Raw genomic sequence first — 23,064 nt, forward strand, 5'->3', positions numbered from 1 at the left:
TGTTTTCAGCCAAAAACCACAATATTTTTAGTGGTAGATTTAAAATATGTTGCCTGTTTGATTAGACAAATTGTCTATTTGACTTGCGTTTAAATAATAGTGTCTTTGGTTGGAAAAGTTGTAAGCAGTAGTACATTTGCTTCTTAGATGTATAATTGGGTTAGATGTCTAATAGGATAATTGGTTCTATAAGCTTATAATTATATTTTTAGAAGTACTAGTGACTGTAAAGGACAAAACTCTTTCTTATGAGTGTGGGGTTTTTTTATTTACAAACTCTGTTGCCTGTTTATTTCTAACAGCCGGAAATAAAATGTCCTCAGATACAAGTTGTAAGTAGCTTCTACTCTGGGGTGATTTTTAACACAACTAGATAGCACGACCCCTCTACTGGCCAACTGAAAATTAAAGACATTGTGTATTATCTTGTTCTGTTAATTTTGGACAGAGTGGTAGCTTTAAAAGACTTCTTTTCCAGGTATTTCAACAAGGAGAAAAACGTCTTTGAGGGAAAAGAAAGTCTTCTAATTTTATATATTAATAACATGAATTTGTGATTTGGTCTAGTTGTAGTAAAAAATGGTTGTACTTCCAGGCTCTCATCAGTATCAAGACAGTTTCATTCTTCTTTCTTTAAACTTTCTTCACCAATTTTTATTGTCTTCTTAATTGAAAAATTCTTGCATTCATAAAATTCAGCAATTGAATTTTGAATCTCTGCAAAATTTTTTTAAAGGATTGAATATAAGTATACATTTTTTATAGATGGTCTAGAAAACTATTAGACACACCCAAATCATAAATCATTAACTGATTCATCTTACAGACCATATTGTTTAGTATATACATGTACTTTAATGACATAAATTTACATTTAAAAATAATTTTTATATCTTATTTAAAGTTTTCTATATCGAATTTGTATGTACTTTTGGAGTTTCAGGTAGATTTAGCTCTTGAGGGATTTGGTTCTATAGTTTGTATGCCATTGTGGGACATTAAAAACTTGTATGCTTTGATCAAGGAAAATTTAGAAAATGGAGTCTTAAAAAATCTGATAACAGAGGACCTCATGCTATGTGAACTGCTATTTCTAGTATTTCACTATATCTTAACATCTTCAGTAACATGTTTTACCTTTTCTTTTGCCCCATTAATAATATATTTAGCCCTTGAGGATATTAAGTATAACATGCCTTGCTAAATTTATGTTGCTTCAGGATTTAATTGATTTTATAACTCAAATATATGACTAGCATATCTGCTTAGTTGAATAAGCCTGCTTAACTGCTTTTTCATTTTTAGCCTATTTAGTTTACATTTGCTCCTAGCTTTTAATATCCTCAGGTGTTTCTTTGTGTCTCTGCAGACGGTGTACTTGATCTGTCCACTAAGAAAAGTCCATGTGCTGGCAGCACTTCCCTGAGCCACTCTCCAGGCTGCTCCAGTACTCAAGGGAACGGGTAAGGGAGAATATTTGTAGCCTTACACAGTTTCATATAGATAATTCATCAAAGGTTGATGCCAGTCTCCCTTTTACATTTTAAAAAATAACCCTTCTAAGTAAGTCATTTATAAATATGGACCATAGATCAAATAAAAATATAATCTGTGCAATGTAAAATTGGCTAGTACAGATGAGTTTTTGTCAGTTTAGTACAAATAGTAAATAACCATGAATATGGCAATTATTTCTTTGGACTTTTTGTTGTGGCATGTTTTGGAGTGTGATACTCAAATAATTCTAAAGTTTAGATGTAAAGACAGTATTATGTGTGCTGAAGCTGTTTAATGAAAATTGAACTCCAATACTTGGTATCTCTAGTGGGGTTTGTGTGTGTGTGTGTGTGTTCATTTTTGTTTGTTTCTTTTGGGTTTGGTTTTGGTGATGGAGAACTGTACTTTGGCAGTTCAGAAAATGTAGTTTTCTGAAAGACTGATGGTAGATGTTGATGCATAACCATCTTAGGCTACCAAGACATTATTACTTGCTCAGTTTTGATAACTCTTAGGAGTCTAAAGTAAATTCTCTGACACCCTAATTTTATAGTATAAGAACTGTCTTCTCCCTATGTGTATCTGATAACCAACTAGAAAAGTCAGGTATTAATATTAAGACATTTAGATACCATGTTGAAAAAGCATTTCTATAAAACTGTGTGACAAAAAATCAACTTTAGATATGAAAAATAACTGGTAAGTTTAAATTAGCTAATACTTAGGCTTATTGAACTTTCAGATTATCAATGTGGGGGAGTTACTTAGATATTAAAGGAACAAGTGGATGCTAAGTGGACTAACCTTTTCCAACTTACTGTTAACTACCTTCAAATAGAAGGATTCCTTTACAGACTTCTAAAATCTCCCTTTATTTTCTCTAAAATTCCAAAACTTTTCATTTCCAGAAAGTATTAATTTAATCCATTATGCGTACTAATCTTTTTCTTAACCCCTTCTTTTCACTATGGTTTATACTAGATATAAGTCAGCATGTTCCCAAATCTTTGGGTTCTATTTATATATCAAAAAATACTTGAGCCGGGCGTGGTGGCTCAGGCCTGTAATCCCAGCACTTTGGGCGGCTGAAGCGGGCAGATCACTTGAGGTCAGGAGTTCGAGACAAGCCTGGGCAACATGGCAAAACCCCGTCTCTACTAAAAATACAAAAATTGGCCAGGCATGGTGGTGTGCACCTGTAGTCCAGCTACTAAGGAGGCTGAGGTGGGACGATCGCTTGAGCCCAGAAGGTCACAGCTGCAGTGAGCCATGATCACAACACTGCACTCAAGCCTGGGTGACAGAGCCAGACCTTGTCTCCAAAACAAAACAAAACAAAACAAAAAACACTTGAGTTGTGTAATTAAGGACACCTGTAGAAGTCCATGTGCAGTTTGCATAAACAAATCCTTTGCTTAAGATTCTCTGTAAACTTGGCTACCAGGTTCATGTATTATATGGTTGAAGTTGCTGTGTTTATCCCTCTGAATGGAAAGTGTTTTCTACTGGTTTTGTTTTATGGAAGAAAAATGCACCAATAGGATTGCCCATCTTTTAGTTGAATATTCAGTGTTATCCTTATTGTGTTACTGATGATAGTAGTCCCCATAGAGTTTTGTAGAACATAACTGGTTTATCATTTCTGCAAAGCCCTATTTTGTGCCTAATTAATGTAATCATCCCCTTGGGCATGTTTTGCCACATGTCAGTCTTAATATTGATAATCTTTCTTATTGTGAAAGTCAAAACCTTACAAATTAACTTTGTCTAAGTAGTTGACTTTTTAAACATTGTTTGAAAGCCGTCCATTTGAAATTTCAAAATAGGTGTTTGGTATTTCAAGAAGGGAAGTTTTTTTTAAGCCAGAGAAAACTGCTAAAAAATTGTTTATATCCCTCTGACAGTAATTACTTTGAGTAGAACTTAAGGGGTAAATAAAGAGTAATTTCTTTTAAGCTTGGATTATTTCAAATGGAAAATCATGATACTCATGTATCTGCAACTAGTAGTGTTTTAAAATGAAGACGTGTGGTAAGTTATAATGCAGTGGGTCTTTTGGTTTGGTTTATTTGGGAATTTTTTTTTCTCCCTTGGGGCTGTTAGCCATATATATGTATTCCCCCCCGCCCCCCAAGCAAAATAAGAAATGTTACTTGGAATTGTTTGATTTTTGATGATGAATATCAACTTGTTTGTGGGATAAATGAGCAATTATTTATGGGTTCCAGTAATGTATATGGTTTCAGTTTTAACACTAGTTGTCATGAATGTTGAATACATTGAATTAAAATAAATAATTTGGCTTACTCTTTTATTACTGTACTTGTTTAGTGGTAACGTCACATTGGCAACACAATTCTGTGTAGATCTATGGAGACTGATGATTACTTTGTAATTAATAATTAAGATGCTATTTTCAGACAGTTGCGCGAAACTTTTTCTCCGAAAATTTGTGAACCCAACCAGAGACCGGCTGACAGGTTTAATTTTTCTTTGCCCAAAAAGCTCCTGATTTTTTTTCTTTTTCCTTTTTCCTTTTTTTGTGAACAAGTTTTAAAACTAACTGCTGAGACCATTTTTTTTTTAATTTTAGAGAAAAATAAATAAATAACACAAAGTGATGTTACCCAAGCAAGGCCTTCTAATAAAGGAGTGGTCCCCTCACCCATCCCTCCCTACCTGTGCAAGTCCTGCTCACATCAGTTTCCTTCCATCCAATTAGGCGACCTGGGAGACCCAGCCAGTACCGCCCAGACGGACTTCGGAGTGGTGATGGGGTACCTCCAAGAAGCTTACAGGATGGAACCAGGGAAGGTTTTGGACACTCCACATCACTCAAAGTTCCACTGGCTCGATCCCTGCAGATTAGTGAAGAACTACTGAGCAGAAACCAATTGTCCACAGCTGCCAGCCTTGGGCCATCTGGATTACAGAATCATGGACAACACTTAATATTATCCAGGGAAGCCTCTTGGGCAAAACCACATTACGAGTTCAACCTCAGCCGTATGAAGTTCAGGGGAAATGGTGCACTCAGCAACATCAGTGACCTTCCTTTTCTTGCAGAAAACTCTGCCTTTCCAAAAATGGCACTTCAAGCAAAACAAGATGGAAAAAAGGATGTGAGCCATTCATCTCCTGTAGATTTAAAGATACCACAAGTTCGAGGAATGGATCTTTCTTGGGAGTCTCGCACTGGTGATCAGTACAGCTATAGCTCTTTGGTAATGGGTTCACAAACGGAGAGCGCGCTTAGTAAAAAATTAAGGGCTATTCTTCCAAAACAAAGTAGAAAAAGCATGTTAGATGCTGGACCCGATTCTTGGGGCTCAGATGCTGAGCAGTCTACCTCTGGACAGCCATATCCCACATCGGATCAAGAAGGAGACCCTGGCTCCAAGCAGCCTCGGAAGAAAAGAGGGCGTTACAGACAGTACAACAGTGAGATACTGGAGGAAGCAATCTCAGTGGTTATGAGTGGAAAAATGAGTGTTTCCAAAGCTCAGAGTATTTATGGGATTCCCCACAGTACACTGGAGTACAAAGTAAAGGAGAGGCTGGGCACTTTGAAAAACCCTCCAAAGAAAAAGATGAAATTAATGAGGTCGGAGGGGCCAGATGTTTCTGTAAAGATTGAATTAGATCCCCAGGGAGAGGCAGCACAAAGTGCAAATGAATCAAAAAACGAGTAGGAATACTGTAGAGTGCCAATTACTGTACAAACTGGGTGAGCACTACTGCATCATTGTTCAGCTATCATTGCTTGCACGTAATTTCATTTACTGTGACACTTGCTTCTTTGCAGATTTTGCATTGACTTGTGTGTACAGAGATGAAATGTGCATTCTGAATGTTGCATATTTTAAATTTTTCATGTGCAGTATGGCTCGGAATATGTTTGGCCTTTTGCATGTTTCTCTACAAAAGAGAATTGAGTTACCTCACAGAGAACAGATACATGGAAGTGGACTCCTTGCCTGTAGAGCCTGCATGCTTTTTTGTTTTTTTTTGTTGTTGTTGTTTTTTCTTAAGTTATATTTGTTTTTACTTTTTAAAAAAGAAGAGGAAACAAAGCCCCCTTTTAGAAACTACGTCTGTCATACTGGGAGCTTTATCACTGCAAATTGGAAAGCCATCTTATACAAAATTATTCACATTTTTCATCTACGATTCAACTAATCGAAGGATTAAACTAAAGAAAAAACTAAGAAGAACAATGAACCTTTGACTTTGAGAAATTTGGTTATTCACTGACATAATTATTGGGTCATTTATAGTTACATTTTATAATTTTCTTCTCACTATTAAATTTATTTAAATTAGCAAGCTATTAGTGCTCACCCAGAGGGGAAGGTGGTGGAAAATGTGCACACACTACCTTCAGAAATGCTTCAGTTAATTACTTTGAACACTACCTTTGCTGTAATTTCATTTGAGATTTTCTAAGGGTAGAATTTGGTCTCACCAACAAGTGAGGATATAGCCTTATCTCATGGAGGACGAGCTCCGTATTTACTCAGGAGCAGTCAGGGTACATTACATAAAACAATGGAGGATGCCTCATTTTAGCAAACTAGGTTTCTTTGTATTCTTCAGTCCTTTTACAGAATTGATGTGCTAACTGAATATCATTGCAGCAACTAGACTAAGATATTCAAGATCTCTTTATTGGGGATGGGAGAAATAGGGAAAGAAATGTGTATAAGTAATTATGATATTGCAAAAGTGATACTTAGATTTTACAGCCTCAGTAGTCTGCCCAGTGTCCACATTAATGAAGGATCCATGTTTGTAGTGAGAGAAAAAAACCCCAAGGTAACCCGATATGATTTAGGATGCATATCAGTTCTAACAATTCAATCAGAAGTCAAGCTCATTGGAATTCCTTTTTTAACTGATCCAAATACTAGTAGAAGGGGGAGGGAGAGGTGTTGGGTTTTTTTTTTAAGTTTTTATTTAATTTTGTTGGTTAGAATTTTTTTCTGTTTTTGGCATCCTACATAATACCCCCCTTCTTGACTTTTTCTGATAATTAGCTGATATTCATGGTTGTTTAGCACACAGTTCAGGACCTTTGAGATCATGTTTGTATAAGCACTCCTTGAAGAATATCTAAGCTTTTTCTGAGATGGGCTTTTAAAATTATAATAAGGGAAGTTTATTTTCTGCGGTTTTTGCAAGAATAAGCAAAGCCCATGGAATTTAATTTTTCATTGTGATCAGATTAAAATTACTATTTGTGCAAAACAAATTCCACACCACATGTACTGTATATTCTAATCTGCTGAGAAAGGTGGTCAGGCCCTTCTAAATGCTTAACCAAAAACAAACATTATTGGAGTTTCAGTGTAAAATAAAATTAAAATTGGAGGGTTGGTTAGATTGATTTCAGATGGATACTAACAGTTTGAGGGGAGGTCCAGATATTTCCAAGGCATAAATTCTTGCCTGGAAACTTTGGAGCAATTAATTAAATTAGGTTAAGTTTTCCCTCAGCAACCTGTGTGTTCAAAGGTTAGGCACACCATTGCTGTTACTAAAATACATGCACTGCTCATTCTTGACATAGCTTGGGTGTGGGTTCCTCTTGTTTTGGTTATTTTGTGTAGCAGTTTAATCAGTGGATAACTGAGCCTGTTTCCTCTTAGCTTTCTAGACTTCTTAACAGAAAAAACAGTTTGGGTTCAATAGCATTTTATGATTCTACAATATTTTGTCACCTAGCTGGAAGTTGCAATAAAAATTCCTTATGAAATATATGGTTTTCATCTGTAATTGAAGGAAATCATAGAAAGTTTGCTGAAAGCAAAGGGCTAAGCTTATGAAGGAATGCCTCCTTTGTTACACACTCAAGAATTTGTCAGCACACAATTAATTGCAGCCATAGTACCTTTTTGCGTAATGTTTGGGATATTCAGTAGCCCAGGATTGCTACAAAAAGGTCCTTTGAGAAAATTAATTTGTGCTTGCTTTTATCCCCTCTCAGAAAGACATCACTAAAGGCCCATTAAAAATCTGGCCCTAAAAGTTCAACTTTTGTAGAGTTTATTGTTCAGAGAGGTTTAATCCTATGTGGTAGTCTATATAAGTGATGTATGAGTTGAGTTATGTAAATTTTGTCATTGTAGTGTACATGGAGTGATCATTTTACTAACATAAATATTTTCTATGTGTGTTTCAGTGGATGACAATCGAGCAGCAGAAGAATGGTGTGCCTACCCTTTAATGCTGCAGTTTAAGAGAACTTGTATTGTGTCATTTCAGATTGTAGGCTGAGAGTTGTAAATAGTGAAAATTTGAGTACTTCTATTATTTGTTTTGGTTAGAAAGTGAATTTAAAAAACAAACCAAACTCTAAACTTTCTCAGATTAAAAGTCCTGAGACCTGAAGATTGTAATATTCATGTCTGTGAAGCTTTTAAACATTACACTTGAGATCAGTCATGACTTGATATTCAGGTAAATTTTCTTTTCCAAGAAGCTTTTGAATAAGCATATTTCCTCCAAAGGTCTCTCTCTTTCTCTCTCTTTTTTTGAGTGTAGATTATTTTAAAGCACTAATTGCATTACATTGGTAACTGCAATATAAAATAGCCATTATTGTTTTGTGAAGCATGGTTGAAATTAGCTAGTGGTCCCTTTTGAATTTCATGAGCCTCTCAAAAAAGAAAAACTTAAAAAAAAAAAAAAAAAAAAACAAAAAGCTGCTGGAATATTTCAAAAGATATATATTTTACCTTATTATAGGTTTTGTAAAGTTAGTTTGTAATATTCAGGTGCACTTTTAATGTTAAATTTTGTGTTCAGAGTTCCATTATACCATGTATTTCTCGGAGGTGGCTCATCACACGGCTGGTGGCAGTCTTGGTGCCGCAGTGATTCCTTAATATTTGATTTCTCTCTTGATTTGCCACTATTCTGTATTGGCACTTTCAGTGTAGATATTCTAGTTTGGGGATGTCCTCACAATGTGTAATAGAGATTGGTCTATTAGCATGCTTAATTTCTGCTAATCAGAGTTTTGCATGGCCCAAACAACAGTTGACCATTTTTATGGTATGGGAAAGTGTAGTTCACAACTGTCTTTGTCACGAAAGCCGTTTTTCCTCACATTTTCCAGTAGGCAGATAACATTACTTAAATTATTAATATATAACACTCTTGGAACTATTGATAGGAAATAATGTATTTAAAATAATTTTTTGCATTTTCAGAGACCTTGATGTTATAGGGTAGATAAGCTATGGCACTATAAAATCAAAAACACTAATTCTGTGGAAGGATATCTAGTTGGTATTTTTATCTTTAGCTTTCTCATTTCTGAGACAGCATAGTCATCCAGCTTGATGGTAATGTAGTATATTACTTTGTTCAGTGGGCTTATAAGTGACTCTGAATTATGTTTGTGATGAGCTATACACTTTTTTTCTGTTCCCCAAATACCATGAAGGACAAGGTCACTCTTTCAGGAAAAATAATTTATATTTGTGTATAATACTTTTTAATATTAAGTTTGTTGTTCTGAAGTTTAGATGTTGCTTGATAAACCTTTGCTGCAGCAGATCATGAATATGAGTAAGGCTTTGTGTGATAATAGGGGTCCTTATGTGAAGTTAATTACTGTTCAGTTCTGGTGAGCAAGCTCAACAAGTGTGAAGTGTGTATTAGCTTTATTTGGTACACTTTTACTTTACAATATCGAAGTGCTTTTAGAACTCTGGTTATCTTATATAAACCATTACCTCAACCAATTGGCATTTCTTTTCCCCAACATTTACCTTAGCTATAATATGAGCTATGTGGGATCAGATGGTAAAACTATAAAAGGCACAATGAGAAGTTTAGTTCCCAAGTTTTGGAGAGAACTCTAAATTAGACTAAAAACAACTACCTGTTAACACCAATATCATAACTACCTTCTGTCGTTAGGCAGTACATAGCAACCTTTGAGCTGCTAGTGAGCTATCTGTTCTCCCCCTACCCCCAAGTAAGCACACAGTGCCAGGCCTGGTTCTAAGCCTTTGTGATTCTCTTACATCTCATTGACCCATAATAGTGAAGCATGGATTCATTTATTTTCATAAGACAAATTGAGTCAGCTCGATGTCAGAAGTTGAAAATATTTTGAGTAGTTTAACAGTTATATGAGAGATTGGCATCATTTTCTTTAACAGCTTTTATCTTTGTAGATTTCCTTTTGAGACATGTATTTTTGCTTTTATAATCCTTTCATTAAATGCCAGAGGTTGTTTTCATATTAATCACTCTTTTCTGTATATTCAGGTTGCTGTCATTGGTGATAGAATATGGCAATAGACAGAATTGTGCTCCACTTTATGTTTTTTAGGAGATATTGAAAGTTATAGGTTAAATTTTGGCCTTCTTGAAGATATCAAAGATTGTTTTCCTTGTTACCTTTAATTAGAATTTGGTCTTCATTAATGCTTTGGTCAGGCTAGCATTACTAAAAACTTGATGGCTTCAGCAGAACAGCCCGTTTAGGAGACTATTAAGCTATCTAGGGATTTTTTTTCAAATTAATTGCTTTCAAAATCTGAAAAGGAAAAAAGTATAATTGTGGTACAAAGAAGACAGATCTCCAGGCTCTTTCTTCTCAGTTTATTTTGGTTTAATTCTGTACTGGAGACTTGAATAGGATTTGTGAACATGGTGATGGAAAGAAAAATAGAGGACATTATTTGTGTACCCTCATTCCTGAATAATCTTGCAGTCACCTTTTAAAGAAGCAGACATTAGCCCTGTAACACAACACTGTAGCTATAAACTCTAAGTGTTAGGAAGGAGATTGGGGTGGGGAGGGTGGAGTAGGATGGAAAAAGCATGTAGACTTCTGAGAAGAGGCTAAAAATTCTGCCCTATAATACTAAAAATGAGTCACAAGATAATGTGGTGAAGTTAGGCCATCTTGATTTGATAGAAAAATCTTTTACATTGTTTAAAAATGAGAATCGAGGCTAATTAATGTTGATTTGACAATAGAACATGAGCTAATTCTGCAACCGTTTGGGGGGTAATTTTATGGTTTCCAGTTCATTTAGAGCTGTATCAAGAAAAGCTAAAAAGCAAGCACTTTTAGTTAATCATAGATTTATTGGATATAGCAAATATTATTATAATATTTAATCTCTATTATTTGAATGTGGAAATGAACTCTTTTACCCCATCTTGAACTGTCATTGAACATGCTCAAGATGATCAACACTGGAAATGACCCTACACACATACCAAAAAAATCTAAAGCAGTAAGACATATTTGAAGATCCATACCTCTTAAACTTTTTAGATTTGTCTTGGGAAAGAATTTATGAACCTGTAACCAGTATTAGTGCAGTCTTGGGTTCCTTGTTCTGCATAATTGCACCCTTTCTCAGGTATGTCCTGACAACATAAATTTTAAAATAATCTCATTAGAGATTAGATTCTCAGTGGATAGTGTGTAAGGGGACTAGGGGTGGGGGGTTGGGGGTAGTTGGACACAGGACACTGACACAGTAGAGCAGGGATTTTTAACAGTCAATAGCCAAATAGAATTTCAATCTAGAATATTTTTACCCCCTCAGAATGAGTGAAACAACTTCTATTATTTGGTGTACCCGGTGCTACACTCCTAAAAGTCTTTTTTTTTTTTCATCCAGGTGACGTTTTTTATTTTTCCTGCTTGGTGGTGGAAGGTTATATAGTAAACTTCACTGTCATTAAGAAAGCGCTTGTCCAAAATGTTTAAAGTACTAGAAAAGGGATAATTCAGCACTTTTTCTGTTACAACACTAAAGTCTTAATTTATCTTCAGAGTCTTAGGTACTGTAAGTTTTTGGATGATTATTTAAAAATATAAAACATACTACATAATATGGGGTCAGATCACATTTATATAAATAATTCTTATTTTAAAAAAGACAATAACATTTTGTACCTTTCTAGCAATTCCAAGTGATTGCCTCATTTTCTCTTGTTAAGCATTTCAAGCTTAAGAATTTGGAATTTGAGAGAAGGTGAGGGGGAAAATTCCCTAAAATAAAAATTTGTTTCAAACCATTTTAGAAAAATAAATCACTAGGAAAATAGGTAGGGATTCTCTCCCCCTTTAAGTCTTCAGGGAATGAGCAGTATTTAGAATCTTTGGCTGAAATTCAAGCCTTTTTACTTTGTAAATTTTTAATATTAATTCACTGACATGCTTTTTACACCAGAGGACTGAAAATGGATCTTAATGTTTTTAAGTTGTGGAAGGGTATATTTCTAAAATGAGGGGGGATGATTAACTAGGTTAGTATTACCAGCATTAGTAAGTTTAAGGAATTTTAGTATGTAATAGCAAAGTGTTTGATTAAAAGTCTAATCCTATATTACTAGTCAAAATTAGTTACATTCTGATCTAGGAAAGATAATAGTCATTGGATATTGATATGCTGTGCTGTCAGAAAACCAGACTAAGATAGAAACCTTTATCTGACTCCCACATGTTGCTTGTTGTGATGGGATGTATACTTTACAGCAGCTTATTGCTGCTTTGAAAAAAAATGTATAAACTATACATTTGGAGTGTTTGCATATAATTCTTTATAACCTCCACTTAAAGCTGTCAGACATTGGTATTTTATCAGTCCACATTGTTGAATAAAACTAATGTTCTTAGGAATCCAGCTTGTACACACTGTTTAAAAACCCTCAGGGACAGTTTACACACTCTTCTCACTCAATTCAGGTACTTTGATGCTATTCTTAAACCTAACAGTGACTTGTATTTTTCTGTTTTGCTTTTATTTCAACGTGCTGGTAGCACATCTGATGAATGTCAACTTAAAAAACTCAGTTCAGGTATCCAGGTATAACTCAGCCAAACAGATTTTAAAGCTGCATATAACTCTCCAGCACATGGTGCCTCACACTCTTATAGTGGCATTCTATATATTCAGTTATTACTACTGAGCAGATAATATGGGGGTTCCTGTTAACAGTGTATTTTTTAAAAAAAGCGCATAAATGTATAGCCAGCACACTACACACACACACACAAACATGCACAGTTAAACTATATATTTTTAAATGCCACTAATAGCCAGCACAACTAAAACAAAAGACATTCCTAACTGCTCTGTAAGCTGTTAACAGATGCAGTTCCTTCTTGATGTGGCTCTTGCTTCTTCACGATAACTACTACTAAATTCAAGCACTGGTCCTTGGGTGTCTGACCTCTACATTCTAGTTTATGCAATGTCTTTAGAGAATTTTGTGCACTGGCCACTGTGATGGAACCATTGGGCCAGGAGTGCTTTGAGTTTATCAGTAGTGATTCTGCCAAAGTTGGTGTTGTAACATGAGTATGTAAAATGTCAAAAAAATTAGCAGAGGTCTAGGTCTGCATATCAGCAGACAGTTTTGTCCGTGTATTTTGTAGCCTTGAAGTTCTCAGTGACAAGTTTTTTCTGATGCGAAGTTCTAATTCCAGTGTTTTAGTCCTTTGCATCTTTAATGTTAAGACTTGCCTCTTTAAAATTGCTTTTGTTTTCTGCAGTACTATCTGTGGTTAACAAAATAGATTATTTCTCTGCTTTAATATTTGATATCTTACATCTAAAATAAATTCTCTCCACATATAAAACCCATAGCCTTTGGAGATATGGAAAATGGTATCTTTCAGATTTCTAGAAGTTCAAGTGTCATACAACAAAACAGGAACCCCCTTTACTCTTATGGACCTCATTTCAATATACTGTTTACAGTTTGATGGAATTGTATAATTTAATATTTCTCTTGTACTGTAGTTTATATTTATTTACAGATTTTTTTGTACTGTGTGATTTGAACTTTTTGTTCCTTGCTATGATCAATGTTTATGTAGTAGAGCACTTATGATCACAAATTAAGTTTTTTGGTTTGATTGCACTACATTAAATTTTTTAATGCAGTTCTGATTTTTGACTGGACTAAAACTGTGTCTTAATGTATGTGATGAGTACTTAAAATTTTAATCCATGTGGTCCCCCCCCTTTTTTTTTTTTTTGCATTGTATGTCAAAAGCGCTTGTTCTTTCGTGCATGTGTAAGATTTAATGGTTCCATTGTATTATTTGACCATGACATTTTGGAGAAACATTCCCAGCTGTAATGTTGTGTATGGTAGTTCTCACTGGATGCTAGAGTTTTCAAAACCACTATTCTTCTAATAAATTTTGTTGTGAAAAACTGTTTTTAAAGCTTGGTTTCTACTTCCTAAGATTTTAATGCTTTTTGAAAAATTCAAAAAATGGGTAAAAGTTGGATTGTACTCCAACTGTAAATACACATGGTACAAAGTGATTTTTTTAATGATAAATTCTTTCTAGATGCAATCTTTTAGATAAAGTTGCTGCTGTGAGATTCTGCTTTCATATTCAGGTGCAATATTGCGTTGTAAACTCAGTGTCTTTACTAATTTGATACCTCGGCGCTCAGATTACCTCAGTTTTCTTCATTGGATTATTCATTTTAAAAAATGTATTCAGCTAAACAAGATACAGTAATGTTTTCATAATACCGTCTTCTGTCTTGACTTAGTTTTTTATAATTTTCTTAAGAGTATAAAACTTAATGCCGGGATTCCTTGTCAGAAAATAATAGTGACTATTTTTTGTTTGCTTTTGTCTTGAGGCATAAGTATAAAAGCAACATTGTCAGTCAGTTAAGGTTATGATGGTAGTTCTCATTCTTGGCAGTTCGCTGATAATTCCTTTTACCAGAACACATAAAGAACAGAGTATATGTTGCTCAACATTTAAAAAAAATTTTTTTTTTTTGAGATGGAGTCTCGCTCTGTCTCCCAGGCTGGAATGCAGTGGCACGATCTCGGCTCACTGCAAGCTCTGCTTCCTGGGTTCACACCATTCTCCTGCCTCAACCTCCCGAGTAGCTGGGACTACAGTCGCCCGCCACCACGCCTGGCTAATTTTTTTGCATTTTTAGTAGAGAGGGAGTTTCACAATGTTAGCCAGGATGGTCTTGATCGCCTGACCTCGTGATACACCTGCCTCAGCCTCCCAAAGTGCTGGGATTACAGGTGTGAGCCACTGCGCCAGACTGCTAGTGGTGTTTTATATTTAAAGATGATGCTATTGTTAATTGGTCTAGTTTATCTTTTAATAGTTTTTGTCGGCCGGGCACGATGGCTCACGCCTGTAATCCCAGCACTTTGGGAGGCCGAGGCGAGCGGATCACGAGGTCAGGAGATCAAGACCATCCTGGCTAACACAGTGAAACCCCGTCTCTACTAAAAATACAAAAAATTAGCCGGGCGTGGTGGCGGGCGCCTGTAGTCCCAGCTACTCGGGAGGCTGAGGCAGGAGAATGGCGTGAACCCAGGAGGCAGAGCTTGCAGTGAGCTGAGATCGCGCCACTGCACTCCAGCCTGGGCGACAGAGCGAGACTCTGTCTCAAAAAAAAAAAAAAAAAAAAAAAGACGGGCTATCTAGCTGTTTCTGCCTTTGGTCTGATGTTTATAAAATAGGAATTTATATTAGTACTACAGACTTGTTCTGTTGGCTTTATTTGTTCCCCTTAATTATGCCACATACTTAATCAAGATTTTTTAAGAAAGCTAATTATTATTTTGCTGTAAGTTCCAAAGCCATAACTAACTTGTTTATGGTCATTTCCTGCCGTTACTCATTATAAACTGGGAGCCAGGTCAGTAATAAGATTACAGTTTAGCATCTCATAAATGAATTTGCTTTATTTTAGTGATCCTATCTTCAAATTGATATTCAGCTCTTCAGTTGTTATAAAGGCCCTATTTAAAGAAAGGACTTTTTCTTTTAAACTGGAATTTTCTCTGATTCTGCTGATATTTTGGAAACTAATTCAGGGGGCCCTATGTCTTAACAGGTGTGGAAATTAGGGAGATTGCATAAGAGAAGTAAAATGGAGAAAATGGAAACTTTTTTTTTTTTTTTTTGCCATATCCTGAGTTGGGGATTTTTCCCCCCAAAGGACTCTTTTTTTTTTTTTTTTTTTTTTTTTTGAGACGGAGTCTCGCTGTGTCTCCCAGGTTGGAGTGCAGTGGCGCGATCTCGGCTCACTGCAAACTCCGCCTCCCAGGTTCATGCCATTCTCCTGCCTCAGCCTCCCAAGTAGCTGGGACTACAGGCGCCCGCCAACACGCCCGGCTAATTTTTTGTATTTTTAGTAGAAACGGGGTTTCACCGTGTTAGCCAAGATGGTATCGATCTCCTGACCTCGTGATCCGCCCGTCTCGGCCTCCCAAAGTGCTAGGATTACAGGCGTGAGCCACCGCGCCCGGCCAGGACTCTTAACAAACACTATTCAAATATAACAGCATATGCTCGGGACATGTGGTATTAGGTTTTGTAGCTGAAATGAGTGAATAATTTTTTTAATAGAAAGTGTTAAGTAATATAGTAGATAAGAGTTCTTGTTATATTTCACTTTATTTGCTTCTAAAAGGTAAGCATTTTAACACAGAATTTTATTTATCAGATTCTTAACAGAATGTTGAACTTCCGTTGTTTGACAGGATCTCATTCTTATCTCCCAGGTTGGAGTGCAGTGGCATGATCACGGTTCACTGCAGCCTCGACCTGCTGGGCTTACGTGATCCTCCCACCTCAGCCTCCTGAGTAGCTGGAACTGCAGGCACATGCTGCCATGCCTGGCTAATTTTACAATTTTTTGTGGAGACAAGGTTTCAGTACGTTGCCCTGGCTGGTCTCGAACTCCTGAGCACAAGTGATTTCTCCCACTTTGGCTTCCCTAAGTGCTAGGATTATAGGCATGAGCCATCATGCCTGGCCGACTGTAGAGGTTTTGTAGGCATGTAAGAATACTACTGTTTCTTGACTAGTCATTTTTTAATGTTCGTTGTTCATCAGCAGTATGGAGTGATAATGGTTTGATATTTTTTTGAAATAGAATCTGTCCCTGTCTCCTAGACTGGAATGCAGTGGTGCGATCTCGGCTCACTGTAACCTCCACTTCCCAGGTTCACAAGTGATTCTCGTGCCTCAGCCACTCGAGTAGCTGGGATTATAGGTGTGTGCCACCATGCCCAGCTAATTTTGTATTTTCATTAGCGTTGGGGTTTCACCATGGTTGGCCTGCCTGTTTTGGAACTCCTGGCTTCAAGTGATCCGCCTACCTTGGCCTCCCAAAGTGCTGGGATTACAAGTATGAGCCACCGCACTTTGCCTGAATTGTTATTTTAATGTTATCTTTCAACTTGGTGCACTAGAAAGATCACTTATTTTTCCTTCTGTAAAGTGAGGGTGTTACAGACTGAATGGTTTTTAGACCTTATTTCAACTCGTGAGTTGAAATATTTAAAATGATAGAAAATGTCATTTTCTATTAAATGTGAGACAAATACACAAATCGTATCTGTACGAACATTGGCAAATACAGTAGAAACTCTTTATTGAATAAGGTCTCGTAAACCCAGGTCTCACCTTTGCATTGAAACATTTTCTAAAGGAAAAAAAAGATCTGGATATCATGTTTAGATGCCTTTTGTTTATTTTAAGTTTTTGTTATGAAGTGTGTATGAATGTGATACTTTTGCAAATATTAACTTGAAAAGTCACTTTAAGTTATTCATAATTTTTATTTCTATTATGTGCAGGGTAGGTGTTCCTTGAATATTAGAGCACTAAGGGTCTTGGGAATCATCAGATACAATCAGTCTTAAGCAGAATCAACCTTTTAAAAATATAGATGCCTGGGTCCTACACTAGACTAGATCCACTGAATCAGTTTATAGGAATGAGGCTTAGACATGTTTAGTATTTTCAGAATGTTCCACAGGAAGTTTTTTGGGTTTTTTATTATGGTTAAAAAAAACATTAAAATTTACCATCTTAGTCATTTTCAAGTATACAGCTCAGCATTGTTAAGTACATTCATGTTGTGACCACAGGAAGTTTTTATTAACCCACTGATTAAGTACTGTTGATCCCATTCTACTTTTTCATTTTTTTAGGTGAAAAACATGGAACTTGGAACCTTGAGGGACTTGTCCCTCCTCACACAATGAGGTGCCCATAATACTCATGATTTCATACCATCTTACTTATCTCCGTACCACTTTGGCATTCTTGACTCAAGCTAGAATTAGAATTAGGGATTGTACATACTAATAATTTTCCGTTAGATTCAGTTTTAACTAAATTTTAACTATTAATTGAGTTTGGCCCTTCAGCAAACTTACGCTGCTTTTTAGGAAGAGAATGAAATCTCTTTTGTGAAGTTAGCCATAAAAATATTGAAAGCATATAAAACCTCAGTGTTAAAAATCAGCATTAATAGGTGACTTTCAGAAAGCCCTCATAAAGGAGGTGAGTTGAAGAATAGGTAGGGCATGGATAGGAGAGGAGAGAATACCCCAAGTTTGAGAGATAGGATTTGATGGGCCTGAGTTTAAATGCCATGGCTCACTTCTGTAATCCCAGTGTTTTGGGAGGCCGAAATGAGATGATCACTTGAGCCCAGGAGTTTGAGACCAGCCTGGACAACATGGTGAGACCCCATCTCTACAAAAAATCCAAAAATTAGCTGGCTTGGTGGCTCAATGCCTGTAGTCCCAGCTCTACTTGGTGGTGAGGTGGGAGGGTCACTTGGGCCCAAGAGATAGAGGCTGCAGTCAGCCCTGATCGCACCACTGCACTCCAGCCTGGGTGACTAAGTAAGAGATCCTGTCTCCAAAAAAAAAAAAATTCAGCGTTTTCACTTGCTTATTACTACATGATCTTGAACAAGTTATTGAACCTTCCCGAGTTTCAGTTTTCTTATCTGTAAAAGAGGGTCATAGATTTGCTATAAGGTTTAAATGAGATTCTGTTGTGTAAAATACTTAGCACTGTGGCAGGCTCTTTGCAAGTGTTGTATAAATGAAAGGCATTGACAGCACCTGATGGGCATGAATTTAGTGTGAGGGATAGAAGAGTGAGAAAGTCAGATTGACATTATGCAAGAAACTGTATTGATTAGAACACTGGAGAGTGAGGTCGTTGTGTTCATATTAGACTGAAGCAAAGGGCAGCCAATCTTGTTCAAGAACCTAAAAATACTGGAATTGTGATTGAAACCTGGAATGCTGCTTTCCTGCATTTCATGGTACTGTTTTAGGGGAATGTAATCAAACCATTAATTATTGTTTCTTTTCAAAGACTAAAATGGAATAAAAGTTGTTTGGAAGTAGAAGATGCTTAAGATTAGAAATTTAAAAGTCATAAAGTTAACTATGTGCATTTCCATTGTATACAAAATTTTTTGTATACTTTAAGGTTGAAGTTTTACATGCTTTGTAGACTTCTTTTTGCATGGGTAGTAGAGTTTGAACAATGATCTAAGAGCTGAGGGTGGGAATGTGTATGTTTAATCATCAAAACTTTTCCAGTGGAAGAAGTTGGGGACAATTATGCCTATTTAATGTGGTTTTATCAATTAGGGGTTGTGTGGATTTCAAACCAACAAATCAGATCACAGCTAACATAGTTTAGAGGTGTTCATTTCAACAATTTTCTTTCTTTTTTTTTTCTTTTTTTTTTTTTTTCTTTTTTGAGACAAGAGTCTCGCTCTGTTGCCCAGGCTGGAGTGCAGTGGTGTGATCTCAGCTCACTGCAAGCTCCGAGTCTTGGGTTCACACCATTCTCCTGCCTTAGCCTCCCGAGAAGCTGGGACTACAGGCACCCGCCATCACACCTGGATAATTTTTTTTTTTTTTTTTTTTTTTTTTAGTAGAGATGGGGTTTCACCATGTTGGCCAGGATGGTCTCGATCTCCTGACCTCATGATCCGCCCGCCTCAGCCTCCCAAAATGCTGGGATTACAGGTGTGAGCCACCATGCCCAACCTTTAACAACTATTAAATTGACTTGAGGCTGGGTGCGGTGGGTCACGCCTGTAATCCCAGCACTTTGGGAGGCTGAGGCAGGCAGATCACCTGAGCTCAGGAGTTTGAGACCACCCTGGGCAACATGGTGAAATCCTGTCTCTACTAAAATACAAAAAAATAACCGGGTGTGGTGGCGCTTGCCTGTAGTCCTAGCTACTCTGGAGGCTGAGGCACAAGAATCGCTTGAGCCCGGGAGGCGGAGGTTGCAGTGAGCGAGATCACACCACTTCACTTCAGCTTGGGCTACAGACTGAGACGCCGTCTCAAAAAATAAATAAATAAGAGTAAAAAATAAATTGACTTGAGGTATTTTTGCCAAGAAGACCTGGCAGTGTAATTTTGACTAGATAGAGATGGATTAAGAAAAAAAATCCATCTTCTTGGATTTCTTCTCTACCTACCAGGTAGTTTTTCAAATTGGGTTGACCAGCTACAGCCTATTAATGGATTGTAAGATCCTAACCAGCATTTTATTTTATTTTATTTTATTTTATTTATTTTATTTTATTTTATTTTATTTTATTTATTTTATTTTATTTTATTTTAGAGACAGAGTCTCACTCTGTCGCCCAGGCTGGAGTGAAGTGGCATGATCTCGGCTCACCACAGCCTCTGCCTCCCGAGTTCAAGTGATTCTTGTGCCTCAGCTTCCCAAATAGCTGGGACTAGTAGAGACGGGGTTTTGCCATGTTGCCCAGGCTGGTCTCGAACTCCTGAGCTCAGGCAATCCTCCTGCCTCGGCCTCCCAAAGTATTAGAATTACAGGCGTGAGCCACCACGCACAGCTCTAGCCAGCATTTTAAAAAAGAAACAGAATCAGAGTACATAGGATTATAGTAAGGATAAATAATGTTTCATCAAAACTTACATCATCATACATATATACATACAAATTGGAATGTGTGTACTGGGTCACTTTGTAAAAAGTATTTCTTGTTCTGGATTGCTGTTGAAAACCTAGTGGTGTTTTAAAGCCATTATGTAAACCATTTCATCCCAGTTTTCCTGGTACCTTAGAGAGCACACTTGGACTGCCTGTGTGCTTAGTCAAAACCTACATACTTACTGTCTGCCCTTCAAAATTCCCTTCTTTCCCTGCCTCGTTGAACTCATTTTTTTTGAAAGGTTATTCTTTTCCCTTCTGATTATATGTAAAAATGTTTCCTCTACCCCTTTCAATTCCCTTGAAAAATGCATTTGGGAGAATTATTTTCACTACATAATAATTTATTTGAATAGTCCATTTGTGACTGACTTAATGCCTGCCATGAGTTGAGCCCCAAGCTTTAGGCACTGAGGCTACCAAATTGGAAAGGACAAAGTCCTTGACCTAGAGGAGGTTCACAGTCCATGGAGAAGACGGTTAGGTCAATAGTTACAAAGCAGCATAAGTACTGTTTAACAAAAGATACAAGCAGACTGTGAGAGTAGAGGAGAAACTACCTAATGCAGCACCAGGGACAGGGTGCTGAGGAGGGTTGTGTAAGCAGTGGGGAGCTTATAGGGGTTTCATGCAGGAAAGTAACCAGATGAGATTTGGGCTTTAGGAAGTTGGCAATTCTGGATAATGTGACGCTGACTCTAAAATGAGAAACGAGGGGCAGAGATATACAATATAGCATTTTCCAAAGAAAGTCAACCCTTGTAGTTAAAACTGGATGGTGTATTGGAGGCAAGGGAAGTGATGAAACTAATAATAAAAATTGAGGTAGAATATCTAGCATAGAGTATCTAAATAACAGGCCTTATAACTCTTACGTCTGCATGTGTGCCTACACATTCAGTTACATTTTGTCTTCCAAGATTCCTGAGTAAAAACTTGAACGTACAGATGATTTTATTAATACTTAGTTCAGTTCTACCCCCAGAACATCTCCAGCTGTAGCCTTGAGTGTTTCTAGAGAGGGGTGGGGTGGGGAATAGTTATAAAGGACTATTAATTCTTATAGCACCCCAGAGAGGATGATAAATATAAAATACCTTGCTTATCCTCACACTTTAAAAATACTTAAAAAAATAAAAATTTAGTGTTACTGCTCACCTTATGAGTATCAATGAGGTAAAGGGGTAAAATATTAAAAATATTTTAAAAATATTTTTAAATGTATGTCATCCAGTCCAAAATCTCACATCTCTCACTGCCTCTGAACCCTCCCTTTTTTTAAAAAATTAACACCATATATACGTTAGATTTTGCATAGTCTTACCAAGGATGATGAAGTTAGAAACAAAAATCAATTTGGTAGGGGAAAAAAACCACAGAAGTAGTTTGTCAGAGATGTCTGTTTTCTGAGGCCATCACATTTCCAGAGAGCAAATGGAGGCATTGACCTGCTGTGCTTAATGACCCTTGCTCTGACTTCCTGCTCTCCAAGTAACTTTCTGATTGTATTTTGGCATCCTGGGTACATTTGTCTGTAGGGTAAAAATATGTTAAAGAATGAACATGAGAATCTTCTTGATAGTTATATTTTTTATTGTAATTTAATAAATTTGACAATCTAGTTAAAATGAAGAAAAATAGGAGATACAATATATAAGCCTTAAAGTGCTTCTGTGATATTTAGGAGATCTACTCTGTCCCTTATCTAGGGATATTAAGCCTTAAGATGCAGAAAGGTAGCAAACTATGGCTTCATGCCCAGTAAGCTCCCTCTGAAACACCTATTTTTCCCCCAGTTTCGATTATTAGTTCATTATTTTTGAACCTTTATTCTGCTCTTTTAGTGAATGTGGTTAAGAACATGGTAAACTTAGCAATTACAAAGGGATTGCATGCCCTTTGCTTTAGATCAGTACCTCCACACACTTGAACAAATACCATGTTGCCATTAGCAATGGTGTCACTGAGGCTGGGACTTCTATAGGGGTGAAGAGATACATCCTGGTTTCAACCCCTCACCATTCTCCATGATTCTGATCTCTGGGAAAGGGGATAATTTAACCCCAATTTTGAAAATTGCTTTTTCTGTATCTAGGTTCTATCTACATCCAAATTTAGATAATTTGGATTTCAACCACCTGGAAATCACATATTTAACAGCCTGTGATTTTTATGAACTTCATTTCTCACTTTCCTGTATTCACTTTTGCCTACCCTTTCACTGCTTCTCCTAAGCCAGTTCTGTGGAAAGAAAAGTTTGTTCAGGGGTTTTAAAGTACACCTATGGCTTTCTAAAGAGTGGAAAAATAAAATTTCCACACCCCATGCCAACCTTCTCCATTATGTCTACACAACTTTGTCATAACCTTGGAATATCCTTATATTCAGGTGTGGAGGATACAACAGATGTGAAATAGCCAAGAGTAGATAAATTTCTCCGTGTAGAGCAAGGACTTGTCAGCAGATTTTTTCAGGCCCTCCTGACTATACTTATACTTTCTGTGCTTAAAGGAGAAGAAGTGAGTAAACTAGGGGACACAATTTCAGATTATTGTCTGGCAAAAAATATAACTTGTTATGCCTTGAAGAGGGGGTGAGGAAGCATTTTTGTTTTATTTAAAGAGTCAAGCCATAGTAATTTACAACCCTTGACTATAGTCAGCTCTCTAAAGCTTGCTTTCCCCTTCTGTTTTCCTGGGACTCCCTGTTTCTGCTATTAAGATTAGCTCCTATCCAAACATCATTCTCTGTGGCTATTGATCTTTTTTCAGTCAAGAAGAATG

The 23,064-nt window shown here is 36.7% G+C and overlaps 1 protein-coding gene across 4 annotated transcripts in view; it reads left to right on the plus strand.

Annotated features, from left to right (window-relative positions):
• LCOR (ligand dependent nuclear receptor corepressor) overlaps positions 1 to 23,064 on the plus strand; it is a 163,659-nt gene that overhangs the window by 118,436 nt on the left and 22,159 nt on the right. For 2 of the 4 annotated variants that reach the window (NM_001170765.2, NM_032440.4), the window contains exons 7-8: positions 1,370 to 1,463; positions 4,220 to 13,703. In NM_001170765.2, the coding sequence (NP_001164236.1) occupies positions 1,370 to 1,463; positions 4,220 to 5,189 (1,064 nt within the window). In that variant the 3' untranslated portion in view covers positions 5,190 to 13,703. Of the gene's footprint in view, positions 1 to 1,369; positions 1,464 to 4,219; positions 13,704 to 23,064 lie in introns of those variants that run through there. The other 2 variants (NM_001170766.2, NM_001346516.2) reach the window with 2 other exon arrangements.

The sequence above is a fragment of the Homo sapiens genome, chromosome 10 (genome assembly GCF_000001405.40).
Source record: "Homo sapiens chromosome 10, GRCh38.p14 Primary Assembly".
NCBI lineage: Eukaryota > Metazoa > Chordata > Mammalia > Primates > Hominidae > Homo > Homo sapiens.